The sequence below is a fragment of the Homo sapiens genome, chromosome 9 (genome assembly GCF_000001405.40).
Source record: "Homo sapiens chromosome 9, GRCh38.p14 Primary Assembly".
Lineage (NCBI taxonomy): Eukaryota > Metazoa > Chordata > Mammalia > Primates > Hominidae > Homo > Homo sapiens.
The window spans coordinates 11,253,550-11,267,973 of NC_000009.12; the positions used below are offsets into that span (position 1 = coordinate 11,253,550).

General features: G+C 37.6%; 1 long non-coding RNA gene across 3 annotated transcripts in view; it reads right to left on the minus strand.

The window, feature by feature from the left end:
- Positions 1 to 419: 419 nt before the first annotated feature.
- The window catches only part of LOC105375974 (uncharacterized), a 248,630-nt gene continuing 234,625 nt past the window's right edge, over positions 420 to 14,424 (minus strand). The window contains exons 5-6 of one of the 3 annotated variants that reach the window (XR_001746618.1): positions 3,060 to 3,314; positions 420 to 1,439 (exon numbers count right to left, since the gene is read on the minus strand). This is a non-coding gene — a long non-coding RNA (uncharacterized LOC105375974). Of the gene's footprint in view, positions 1,440 to 3,059; positions 3,315 to 12,947; positions 13,286 to 14,424 lie in introns of those variants that run through there. The other 2 variants (XR_007061893.1, XR_929476.2) reach the window with 2 other exon arrangements.

Below are 14,424 nucleotides of genomic sequence, written 5' to 3' on the forward strand. Positions count from 1 at the left end.
GAGGAATGGAAGAAACTACCTTAGCTTAATAAAAGCCACAAGTAAAAGTGCTATGGTTAACTTCATAAACAATGGTGAAAAAATAAAAGCTTCTCCTCTAAAATCAGGGATAAAGTGAGGATGCCCACTTTCACCACCTGTATTCAATAGAGTACTGGAAATTCTAGCAAGAGCCTTTAGAAAAGAAAAAGGAAGCAAATGCCATTAAAATTTGAAAGGAAGAAGTAAAATGATCTCTGTTTACAGATGATATGATCTTACATATGATTAATCCACAAAGAAATATATGTAGAGATTCCACAAAAGAGGAAAAAAAACCTTGTAGAATTAATAAATGAATTCAGCAAAATAGCAGCATACAAAGTCAACACACATAAATCAGTTGCATTTCTATACACTAATAATGAACAGTTCAAAAATAAAATTAACAAAACAATTTTATTTACAATAACCTCTCAAGCAATAACATATTTAGGAATTAACTAACCATGTGAAAGGCTACAATGAAAACTACACAATGTTGCTGAAAGAAATTCACAAAGACATATATAAATAGAAATACACTCTCTTTTCATAAATTGGAAGACCTAATATTGTTAAGTTGGCAATACTACTCAAAGCAATCTGTAGATTAAATACAATCCCTATCAAACTCTCAATGTTATATTTTGCAGAAATAGAAAATTCCACCTTAAAATTAATATAGAATATTCAGGCACTGTGAACAGTCAAAACAATTCCGAAAAACGGGAACAAAGTTGTAGAACTCATACATTCCTAATTCAGAACTCACTATAAACCTATCATAATCAAGAGTGTGGTGCTGGCATAAAGATATGCCAGGTCTGACCCACAGACCCTGACTGAGCGATGGATGAAAAAATGTACTGAGACACAGTATCCAAGTGAAAGAGCAGACTAGGGAACTGGGCTGATAACAGAAAGAGTTGTAGCAGCCACGGCCTTGACAAACTGGCACTGCAGGAATTTATTTAGTACAGATTTAATGACAAAGCCTTGAGTCAACACACTTGTGGGTAAAATTAACATAGTCTACCTCCCCACTGCACACGGAGAGAGCAATCCTGTGCATGGACTATCAAAGTTTGGTCTTAGGACAACATGAGTAAAAAAGCTATTTAGATAAACTCCCTGACATTCCCTTGTTATTTGCTTTTTGCTATTAGCTCAGGTAAGAGGATTAGGCTGCCTTCAGCCATAACCCTTTCCCAAAGCTTTAGCAAAACCTTCCTGCCTTCCAAGAATGTTTGCGTCTTCCTATAATTTTTCTTACAACTTTTCCCAACACACTGACTGAACTCCTACATCTCCCTCTTTTCTATTTTTAGCATCATGTTTTGTTGATTGAAGAGTATAGATGTGTACAGCAACAGGTTTTTCAGGCATGGCGCTCATTGCTTGTATTCCTGCTTTGCATCCTAGAATTAGTAAATAACATAAGACAAACATGAGTATAATTAGTAACATTCTTTTCCAATCAAGGGGTGGCCCCCAGGAGTGGGGGGTCTATCCAGGAGAGATGATCTGGCATACCCTTCCATAAGGCTGTTTGTTGGGTGTATAGATCTATGGCATTTAGGGATTCTATAATTGTAGTTTTAAGTTGCTTTACATCTGCTGTTAAATTGTCATGAAAGGTTCCCCAGAGGTGTTGTTTCACCTCATTCCAACTATATATTGATTGATTCCATGGTAAAGAAGTGACACAGATATGTTTATGCTCCCACTCGCAGTTTAATTGCTGTTGGAATGCCAGTGCATCTTGTCGCTCCCCCACATATTTCAAGGTAGCCTCGAGGGCTTACAGACGTGCAATAATCTTTTGATCTATACCCTGCTGTAAGAGAAGTTAATTAGACACATTTCTGGCCAAATTGTCTACAAAAGTAGATGTTTGTACTGATTTAGTAATAGATGCTACAACAATACTAGCAGTTGCTAGGATGGCTATGGTTGAGACTATAAAGGCTATAAGTGTAACTATGAATCTTTTTTATCTGACCTGGGACAGGGCACGTTCTAATGTGGCAAGGGCAGAGGAACCTTGCCAATCGCCTGTTAAATTGACTGGTAGGAAAGCCTCAGATTGTGTCTTCAATACCACGACATTAGTAATATTTAAGTTAGATATATTATAATTAGAGATACAAGAGGCAAACCAAGCCTGTCCCTGCACTCTGGTCACAAACGTGGAGTTTTGGGGTGTAATAGAAATATTGGTTCCCATAAGGAAAAAATATGGATGGGTAGTGCAAATCAGACACTCATTAGTGTGATTATGAAAAAAGGTCATAGTATAATTGTGACTGGAATTATGATATGCCCCATGCCACATGTTAAGGGGGATGCTAAGATGTCCCAGGCACCATAAAGTGTCTTGCGGTGGCATGGACTCTAGTTGGGGTCTGGGATATCCCATCCCCCATTGGCCCAAATTATAGGGGAATGGGACCTGGCTACAAAACTGTCATTGATGCCACGATAGACATGGACATCAGTATGATCACCCTGCAAATGGCTTGGGGGCTCCAGTCTAAGATGTTATAATTGCCTAAGTGGAGGCTACAGGCCTGTCTCCTCTGACAGACCTCCCAGCTAAAGTGGAATCCATTACTTTCCCAGCTTTGTTCTTTAGCACAGGGAGGAATGTTTGGGAAAGTGACATTGATGGCATTGTCCGGTTTGAGGCTACCTGCAACTAAGACTGTTAAGGCATTTCCTTTGCCATGATGTAGCCATAATTGTGTTTGGGCAGGTATACAGTAATGGTTAAAAGTTTTATAACTTACACACAGTGGGAGGATAGTGGAGTGATACGTAGTGTTACCTGGCACCTTAGTCCAATGTGTGCCATTAACGAGGGACCCCACAGAGGGTAAATCTATCCCTCCCAGCCAACCAGTTATGTTATTAGAGGCTGGGAAGGTGGTGTCTGCCCAGGTGGCAGGGTGAAAGAAAGGTGGATATAAGATAAGAACCCAATGGAGTATAGCAGGGACAGGTTGCAGACAAAGCAAGAGCATAAAAAGGATTAATACCCTACATGAGTTGCAATGCAAAACAGAGAGGATAGCAAGGAACAAATTATCTGGAGTGAATGGTGTCTGTGTCCGGAGCAGGATTTGCTCAGCCTCCTGAGTTGTCCTCTTCAGCATCCCCCAGATAACGTCCGTGGATTGTGTCATCCGAGGAAGCCGCATTGTCCAGGGCTGCTGGTCCTGTAGGGTCATTTTCTTCATTTCTGGTACTGGGTTGGGTTCTAGCCACAGCATGGTATGTTTTGCCGCATTGTGCTGGAATCCAAAGAGGACCTGAGGGGTTGTGAACACAAGCCTATCCTCTTCCCCATGTTAACAGTTCATTTGGACCACACCATACATTACTGTTTACATCTTTCCATAAAACTGTGGGTTTTATGTCTTGAGAGGTTTTAGCAAAGTGCTTTTATACAGCTGATTGAAATTTATCATCTAAATTTTAAAAATTAAGGTAAATGAGGCTTGTGCCAATAGTGTTGCAGGGTCCTTACTCATATTCCCCTTTTTTGTGTTTTGAGCATATTTTTAAGGGTGGAGTGGGTATGTTCTACTATGGCCTGCCCGCCCTTTGGGGTTATACGGGATGCCTGTGGAATGTTGGATATTCCACGTGTGACAATGTTGTTGAAATTGTGAGCTGGCATAAGCCAAACCATTATCAGTTTTAATTTTTGTGGGCCGCCCCACAAATGCAAAAGTTAAAGGAAGATATTTAATGACATATCAAGTGGACTCTCCAAGGAGAGCATGAGTGCTAATTAAATGAGAATTGGCATGAATGGATACATGTACATGTCTAAGTTTTCCAAATTCAAGGATGTGTGTAACATCCATTTACCGTAACTGATTAGGCTCTAGTCCTCTAGGGTTAACACCTGTTGAAGGAAAGGACGTGCCTGTGAGGTGGCAATCTGGGCATTGTAGGATAATTTGTTAACTAGCCTTTGGGTAACTTGAAATTGTTTAAATAAGTTTCTCCAGTTTTGGTGAAAAAATTGATGCAATTGAGTGGCTTGGTCAAGCAGTGATGTCATAACCTGTAGGTCTGCTTGATCATTGTCATAAGCCAATGGGCCAGGCACTGAGCTGTGGGCCCAAATGTGTGTAATAAAAATGGGATGTGTACATTGATGTAGCAATTGCTGAAGTCAGAGAAAAAGTACACACAGGGTGGGCTCCAGAGTGGACTTAATCAGGGCTGTCTCAAGGTTCTGCAATAAATAAACAGAGTAAGCAGAGTCACTAATAAGATTGATAGGCTGAGTGGAAAATATTTCCAAGGCCAATATTAAGGCTCCACCTTCAACTCTCTGAGTGCTAGTAAATCCAAAACGAGTGAGGGAATTATGCAGTCTCCACCAAACAGCCAATATTCCACATTTACCAGAGCCATCAGTAAACAGTTTTAAAGTGTTTGGTATGGGGGATTGAACTATTTTAGTAGGCAAAAACCACAGAAGTATGAGATAAGGACTGAAGGAGTTTGTCAGCAGAAAGGGCATTCTCTATATGGCCTGTGTAACTGGAGAGTGCTATTTGCAGTTCCATAGATAAGGGCAATACTGCTTCGAGTTGCTTTTTACTTAAAGGAATTCTGATAATATCAGGGTCACAACCTAGCAACTGATTGCATCATCTGCAGTCTGAATAGATGACTTTATTGACTAACTGGATATAGGGAGAGAGTGTTTTAGTCCTAGCATGTGAGCAAAAAACCATTCTAGGAAGTGCAGACCTAGGGTCATCTGTCCTATTAACCCTTTAGGGGAGTGTTTAGTGGGAAAAAGAAACAACTGAACTGAATACCATGGATCTATGCAATCTAGTTGCCTCTGAGGAATAGTTTGCTCTATCTCTTCAATTTTCCTTTGTGCTGCGGGAGTTAAATATCTGGGAGAGTCTAGTGAAGCATTGCCTTTTAAGATAGAAAACAGGTTCTGTAAATTATCAGTAGTTATGCCTAAGGTGGGATGAAGCTAGTTAATATTGTCTAGCAATTTCTGATAATCATTTAAGGTATGTAAGTTGCTAGTACTTAATTTAACCTTTTGAGGTCTTACTGACCAAGAAGTTGGTATGTACCCAAGATATTTCCAAGGAGAGGACATTTGTACTTTTTCAGGTGCTATGATTAAACCTCTTAACTATGTATTCCTTATGACAGAGGCATATAACCTTAAAAGTACTGGCTCTGTTGGGGCTGTTAGTAAAATATCATCCATAAAATGAAATAATCTTGCAATTAGGAAATTCTTTTCTACTGGGGAGCAAAGTCTGATTTATGTAATACTGACACATGGTACGACTGTTCAGCATTCCTTGGGGAAGCACTTTCCAATGAAATCGGCAAGCTGGCCTTTCATTATTGATAGCTGGTATTGTAGACGCAAATTTTTCTCTGTTCTGTTCTGCTAGGGGAATAGTATAAAAGCAGTCTTTTAAGTCAATAAAGATTATAGGCCAATCTCGAGGAATTATCGCAGGGGAGGGGAGCCCCTCCTGAAGGGGCCACATAGGTTGCAAATTAGCACTGATAGCACATAAGTTATGCAAAAGTCTCCATTTACCAGACTTTTTGGGAATGATGAAAATGGGTGAATTCCAAGGGTTCTATATCGCAGGCTTTTAATTGCTCCACAACTAACTCATGAGGTCTTTGCAATTTCTCTCCCTTTACAGGCTACTGTTCTACTCAAATAGGATTTTGAGAGAGCTATATCAAGGGTCGGGGAGGAATAACAATGGCCATTATTAGAAAGAGGTCTGCAGAGTGACCTCAGTTAACCCTTTTGTAAATGGGCTAGTGGCTCCGTTTTCTCAAATGCCTTTTTTAAATCTGTTTGCCTTGTTGATCTTGCATTACCAGGCAGGCTAAGAGCTGCCCTTCTAATGCCGCTTGCCTAAGACAGGGTCCCATAGCTGTAGTGTATACCTTGTCTTTTTTCCAATTGATTGGAGGAGAGGGCTCAGGCAAAACCTCCGTTTCCTCTTTGTTATTTTGGCCTGGTGATAGCAGGGATGAGGGATAAGGAGGCGGTAAGGTAAGTGATGGGTCCTCCTCCCTCTCCTTTTTAGGCTCTTCTGTGTATAACAGGGCCAGAGCTGCCCTAAGTAAGCCTGTAACATTAGAGATATTACTGGGACCCGTTGCCCTTGCATATGACATTGTTTATGATTTCTCCCCACTTGTTCCCAGAGCTCTAGGTCCATGGTGCCTTCTGCTGGGAACCATGGGTTATGAAAAACAACAGTTTGTATTAGGTTCCTTAATTGAGCCTGTGAAACCGAGGCTCTGCTAGCTTTAAGCATCTGTTTCAATACTTTTATATACTGCTTCTGTTGTGCTGATATCTGTTATCACAAGATAAAACCCTAGCCTGAACAATTCCCTCGAACTGGAAATCCCAAGCAGGCACCAATGACTTATTGACTCACTAACCGCACAGTCTTTTCACCTTTGTTTTCAAGGGTTGTGTCATGATCTGTTGCAGTGTTCCTCACGCAGGGAACCACCTGCCAGGTCCAATCCACAGACCCTGACCAAGTGATGGCTGAAAAAATGCACTCAGACACAGGTATCCAATGAAAGAGTGGGCTAGGGGACTGGGCTGCTCACAGAAAGAGTTGTAGCAGCCACAGCCTTGACGAGCTGGTGCTGTGGGAATTTATTAGTAAAGATTTAATGACAAAGGCTTTGAGTCAACACATCTGTGGGCAATTAACATGGTTGCCCCACCCCCCAGAGAGAGCAGTCCTGCACGCAGATGATCAAAGTTTGGTCTTATGACAACATGAGTAAACAAGCTATTTAGATAAACTCCCCTATGTTCCCTTGTTATTTGCTTTTTGCTATTAGCTCAAGGTAAGAGGATTAGGCTGCCTTCAGCCATAACCCTTTCCCAAAGCTTTTGCAAAACCTTCCAGCCTTCCAAGAAGGTTTGCGTCTTTCCTATAATTTTTCTTACATCTTATCCCACCACCCTGACCGAACTCCTACAAAGATAGACAGGTAGGCAAATGGAATAGAGTCCAGAAATAAACCTTGGCATATATGATCAAATGACTTTCACAATGTCCCAAGATCACTTAGTGAAATAAAGTCAGTCTCTTCAATAAATGCTACCTGGAAAATTGAATGTTCACATGCAAGATAATAATATTAGTTCTGTGTATAACACCATAAACAAAATTCAACTAAAAATGGATCTGTTACCTAAAGACAAGGTTTAAAACTATAAAACATTGGAAAAAAGCTTCATGAGAGCAGATTTGGCATACTCTATTGGATAAAACACCAATGCCATAGGTAACAAAAAAAAACTAGACAGAGTGGAATTTATGAAAAATGTTAAATTAATTCATCAAAAGATACTATCAGTAGAGTAAAAAGGCAACCTAAAGAATGAAGAATGTATTTGCAAATTACGTATTTAAAAAGGGACTGATATCCAGAATATGTAAAGAATGCCTCAAACATGTAAAGGATTTAGAGATGTCTCCAAAGAAGACATATACATGATGAAGAAGAATATGAAAAGATGTTCAGCATAACCAGTCATTAGAGAATCAACCACATTAAAAATGGGCAATGGATATGAACAGACACTTCTCAAAAAAAGGCATACATGCAGCCAACAAACATGTAAAAAAAGTTCAACATCATTGATTATTAGAGAAATACAAATCAAAACCACAATGAGATACCATCTCATGCCAGTCTGAAGGGTGATTATCAAAAAAAAAAAAAAAAAAAAGAAACAGCAGATGCTGGCAAGGTTGTGGAGAAATAGAAATGCATTTACACAGTTGGCGGGAATGTAAATTAGTTCAACCACTGCAGAAGACAGTGTGGCGATTTTTTAAAAATTTAGAACTGGAAATACCATTTGATCCAGCAATCCCATTACTGGGTATATTAACAAAGGAATATAAATCATTCTATTATAAAGACACAAGCACTCATATGTTCATTGCAGCACTATTCACAATAGCAAAGACATGGAATCAACCCAAATGCCCATAGTGATAGATTAGATAAAGAAAATATGGTGCATATACACCATGGAATACCATGGAGCCATAAAAAGGAATGAGATCATGTCCTTTGTAGGGAAATGGATAAAGCTGGAAGCCATTATCCTGAGCAAACTAACACAGGAACAAAAAAACAAATACTGCATATTCTCACTTATAAGTGGGAGATCAACAATGAGAACACATGGAAACTGGGAGGGGAACAATACTGGGGCCTGTTGTGGGGAGGGTGGGGGTGGGGAGAGCACTAGGAAAGAGAGTTAATTCATGCTGGGCTTTATACCTTGATGATGGGTTGTTAGGTTCAGCAAACTGCCATGACACATGTTTACCTATGTAACAAACCTGCATATCCTGCGCATGTACCCAAGAACTTTAAAAAATGGAATAATTAAAACAAAAATAAAAAAGCGGGGACTTCAAGGGATATTTGTAGACCTGGATTCATAGAAACATTATTTGAAAAAGCTAAAACATAGAAGCAACCCAAGTATCCGTCATCAGATGAATTGATAAGCAAAATGTGGCATATACATACAATGGAATGTTTTTCATCCTTAAAAAGGAAGGAGATTATGTTATATTTTACATCATAAATGAATCTTGAATACATTTTGCTGAAAGAAATAAGCCAATCCCACAAAGACAATACTGTATGATTCCACTTCTTTGAGGTAGATAGAGAATACAAAATTATAGAGTCAGTAGAAAGTAAAATTATGGTTACCAAGAGCATGGAGGAAGATGGAAGGAGGAGTTGTTATTTAATGGATGTAAAGTTTCAGTTTTGCAAGATGAAAAGTGTTCTGGAAGTGGACAGTGGTGATGAATGCATGACAATATAAATGTACTCAATATCACTGTACTCTACAGTTAAAATGGTTACGATAGTAAGTTTAATGACACGTGTTTATCACAATTTTAAAAAGAAGAAAAATGTAACTTGTTTTTCCCAAAGATCCAGCAAACTATTTTGTAGGTATTGACAAATTGGCTCTACAGTTTATATAGAATGGTAAAAAGCCTAAATTAGCCAACATAACACTGAAGAATAAGGGCAAAGTTGGAGTGAATACACACACATACACACATATGGCTTCCATGTATGTATGTTTATGTTTATAGTTTATATTATATGGCAGCACTATGCCAAGTGATAGGAATAAAACAATTTGTAAGACATGCTCTAAATTTGAAGAATTCAAGTCTTTTCCATGTAATGTTTTAGTTATGTGAAATATTGGTGAGATATTTATACACCCATGTGATCAATGGCATGCTGGATTTCATTGAATCACTAACTAACCAATAGGAATTGGTTAGAGTTATCTGCATGTCCCTCACTTTAAGTCTTTTTTTAGCAAGATTTCCTGCAGAAAAGTAAAAAGACTGACACATATAAGGCAGGGGAAAGAAAACAAGGAAACAAAACTTTTATTTCTATTACTTATCTTCCAATTTAGAACCTAGGTATATGAAATCATGATATTTGAAGCTATTAAGCAATGTGCCTGATACAGGCATATTTTAGTATATAAAAGGACTTGAACTGCCACAGTCCTACTAAGAAAATAAGGATTCAAAAATAAAGGGAGAAGAGACTAGGAGCAGTGGCTCACTCCTGTAATCCCGGCACTTCGGGAGGCTGAGGAGGGCTGATCACTTGAGGTCAGGAGTTCGAGACCAGCCTGGCCAACATGGTGAAACCCTGTCTCTACTAAAAATACAAAAATTAGCCAGACATGGTAGCAGGCACCTGTAATCACAGCTACTCAGGAGGCTGAGGCAGGAGAATAGCCTGAACCCAGGAGGCGGAAGTTGCAGTGAGCTCAGATTGCGCCACTGCACTCTGTCCTGGGCGACAAAGCTGGACTCTGTCTCAAAAAAAAAAAAAAAAAAAAGAATAAAGGAAGAAGAGAACCATCCATAGAACCATATGAACCATTAGTTCCAGACAGTTTTATGCAGTGGTTAGTTTTTCCATCTCTTATTGACAATGAAAGCTATCTAACTTGAGTCAAAGACAAATAATTTAATTAATCGAAGGACTCATACCTCTTTATTGGTGTTGGAGCTCATAATCAAATTATCGTAATTAAAGTAGGACACAGCACATAATTTTACATAACAGTATGATGTGAAACAAAAGTAGCTAATGTTGATGAACCCATTAATGAAAATAAGACTAATTGTGAGCTACAGGGACTAAATGGCCAGAATTTATAGAACTTATTTCCTGTAATAATGAGTGGAACGTGTGTGTTGGGTTTGTTTCTTTGAATGCCCCCTTTTCCCTTTTTATCTGTTTTTCTGACCGGACATCCATGACATTATTAGTACAGCAGTGAGGCTGAGTATCACCTCGCTATGCAATATTAAAATGACCTAGTGATTTGCAAATTAAGCATCCTATGGAAATTTTTAGTAGCTCTCAGAACAGCATGAGTGTGATTTAAGCCTCCTTTAGTCAAAACATCTGAAATCAGGATTCATTTACAGCTTAATCATTTATATATTGCCAACATGTTCACATTAAGCATATTGTTTTAGTACCAAAATAATTAGACAGAAAATACTAATTTGGCCATGCATATCATTTCAATTTATATGCAATGTACATGCCAAATGATGATTTGGAAGTTATTTTCATGTTTTAACCTCTTTGAATAGCCCTACTCATGACTGGGGATGTATAATATCAGGCATGCTTGACAATGGGAGGCCTGGTTGCCAAGTAAGGAATCTATTTTCCAAATTGATGCCAATGCATTGTGTGCCACATATATTCACAATTGCCAAGCAGCCTTTCTAAATGACTTGTAATCCCTCTGCAGATTGTGTTTCTAATTTATAAGAATTTTGCTTAATAGCTATGGATCTCCCTCAAACTTTCATTTGTCAAGCATGAAATTAATTTAGAGATTATTTTATGTTGTTCTGAGAGCATCCCCTTATTATTCACCATATCCTGAGAACCAATGTGCTCATTTCCTAATCCCTGTTAATCTTTCATTTGGTAATGTAGAAGTAAAGCAGCAGTTGACACTGCCAAAAGCAGTATTAAAATGTTCATTTTTATATATCCTGTGTCTCTTCTCAGCTTGTTAGTCATGGACTAAATAACATTATTTTCAAGCATTGCATATAAAACAGGGTTTAAATCTTTTGTTGTTATATGTAGTTAAAATCTTCCAAGGATTTACACAAATACCTTAAATGATAGGAAGGCAGAGATTGCAACAGGAATAGGTTGGTATACTTTGTTCTCCTTTGATCCCAAATTAACATTAAAGGAAAAAGTTTTGATTATGTCTGGATATGTAATCTGAGGGTAAGGACGACTAAATTGATTGTCTAATTTAAAATGTTCCTAAAGGAAATGTACATATTTTTGAAATTTAAAACCTGAACATGAAAACCAGATAAAATTTGCTATCTTGTACATGGTTAAAGGACAGCAAGGACCTCTTTGCTAAGCGTTGGTATAAAGGATTCCGTATACATGAAATTTATGTCAATTTACACTGTATATATGACTTGGGAACATTATTTCCAACTATTCAATTTTTATAAAGTTCCATTTATCTATTATATTTTTGTTGTTGCCTGTGCTATTGGGGTCATATTTAATAAAAAAATAGTGTAAAACCCAAGGTTGTAAACATCTGCTCCTGTTTTCTTCTAAGAATTGTATATTATTAGCTCTTAAATATAGTAGCTGTCATCATTCTCTTATTTGCAGTTTTATGTTCTGTGGTTTCCGTTACCCCTAGTCAACTGTGGTCTGAAAATATTATGCATGAATATAGTACAATAAAACATTTTGAGAGAGAGACAGACCACATTCACATAACTTTTATTACAGTGTATTGTTACAATTGTACTATTTTATTATTATTTATTGTTGTTAATTTCTTCCTAACTTATGTATTAAACATATATATAAGTATATATACACACACACACATATATATACACACACACACACACACACACATTATATATACAGTTACAGGGTTTGATACTGTCCACAGTTTCAACCATTGGGTGAGGTCGTGAAACATAGCTTCTACAGATAAGGGGAAATGACTCTATTTGAATCAATTTGAATTAATTTTTGAATATGGTATAATGGTCTCAACTTCATATTTTGCATGTGCATATTCAGTTTTTCTAGTACTACTTGTTGCAGAAACTTTTCTTTTTCCATTAAATTATCTTGGTACCCTTGCGAAATTCAACTGATCTTTAATTTTTTTTAATTTAAATTGTAGCGATAGAGTCTCGCTCTGTTATCCAGGCTGGAGTACAGTGGCACAATCCATGGCTCACTGCAGTCTTGACCTCCCAGGCTCAGGTGATCCTCCTGCCTTAGCCTCCTGAGTAACTGGGACTACAGGCATGCACCACGATGCCTGGCAAATTTTAAATTTTTTGTAGAGATAGGGTCTCACCACGTTGACCAGGCTGGTCTTAAACTTCTGGGTTCAAGTGATGCTCCTACCATGGCCTCCCAAAGTGCTGGGATTGCAAGTGTGAGCCACCATGTCTGGGTTATTCAATTGACTGCTTATGTAAGAGTTTATTATTGGGTTCTCAATTCAATTTCATTAACCTATATTTCTATCCTTATGCCAGAGCCATACTGTTTGATTACTATAGATTTATAGTACATTTTAAAAGAAAAAATGTGAATTCTCCAACATTTTTCCCTAATGCTGTTTTGCTTATTCAGGATTCATTGAAATAGCATATAAATTTCATAATGGGTTTTTACATTTCTAAAAAAAGACCATTGAGATTTTGATAGGGATTGCATTGACACTATATTGTTTTGAGTGGAAGCATCATTTTAACAGTATTAAGTCTTCTAATCCATGGACGTGAGATATTTTCCCACATTCATTCATCTATATTCAGAAAATCTATTGGTCTATTATCTTGTTTTCTCGTCGTGTCTTTGTAGCTGGCCTCATACAATGATTTCAAAAGCATTTTTTCACTTTCCATTTCTTTTGAAAGAGTTTGAGAAGAGTGGTGTTAATTCTTTAAATGTTTGATATGACTTACTGGTGAAGCTATCTGATCCTGAGTTTGTCTATGTTGGAAGTTTTTTGTTTTGTTTTGTTTTGTTTTAGAGCACCAAATACTTGTCTCTTCCTCCTCTTCTCTTGAGGGTTACAATTGCAGAACTAGTTGGGAAGCAAAATAGTATAAATATTACCACTGGCTTTGGAGTCCAACAAGCCCAGGTTCAAAACTTTGTGACCTAATATTTACAGTTTTTTTTCCATTGACAAACAATAATGGTAAATATTTATAAGGTAAAATGTGATGTTTTAACATATATACATATTATGGAATGATTAAATCAAACATATTCATCACCTCACATACTTACTTTTTGTCATATGAACATTTAAAATACAGGCTTTTAGCAATTTTGAAATTTATTATTATTAGCTAAACATTATTATTGACCATATTAACCATGTTGTGCAATAGATCTCAAATGCTTATTCCTCCTGTCTAACTGAAACTTTGTGCCTTCAACCAACATATCCCTATCTGCTCATCCCCTACTCTCTGGTAACATCATTCTACCCTCAACTTCTATGAGTTTGACTATTTTTTACTACTGATTCAACTCCCTTACTTGTTATAGTTCTTTTGAGATTTTCTACTTTTTCTTGAGTTAGTTTGGTAATTTATGTGTTTCTAGAAATTTGTTTATTTTATCTAGGTTATCCAATCTGTTGGTATACAGTTGTTCATAGTATTCTTTTATAATTTTTTACATCTGTAAAGTCAGTAGTAAATGACATTACATCTGTAAAGTCATTTTTCATTTCTGATTTTTATAACTTGAGACTTCACTTTCCTTGGGAGGAGAGTGGCTGGGTTTAAGCAATGACAGGTTTTTAACTGGACTTCAGATCCCTCTAATGGCAGAGACTGATATTTGAGAAGGTGATTATCTGTTAGCCAGAGACTTCACTTAGAGGACAACAGTCCTGCCACATTTTGTGGGGTATATAAAGTTAAATTATTTCCCATGGTTACTTGGTGGCCAGTGGCACCAGCAAAGCCACTGCTGCAACTGTTGGGAAGCAGGCTGGTGATCCTTTAACAACCAAATCAAGCTCCATGCTTAGGTAACCTACTAGCTGTTGAGCTTGACCTAGTGCTTGAGTTAAAATTCCCAGAGCCATTTCCTTCCTTCTTGACAGATAGTGACTGAATGCCTTCTCTATGGGAAGAGTAAGGCCTGGTGACTTAAGCAAGGCTTATTTTAACTGGTTAAAGGTTTTTTAAGCCTCAGGTTCCCAAG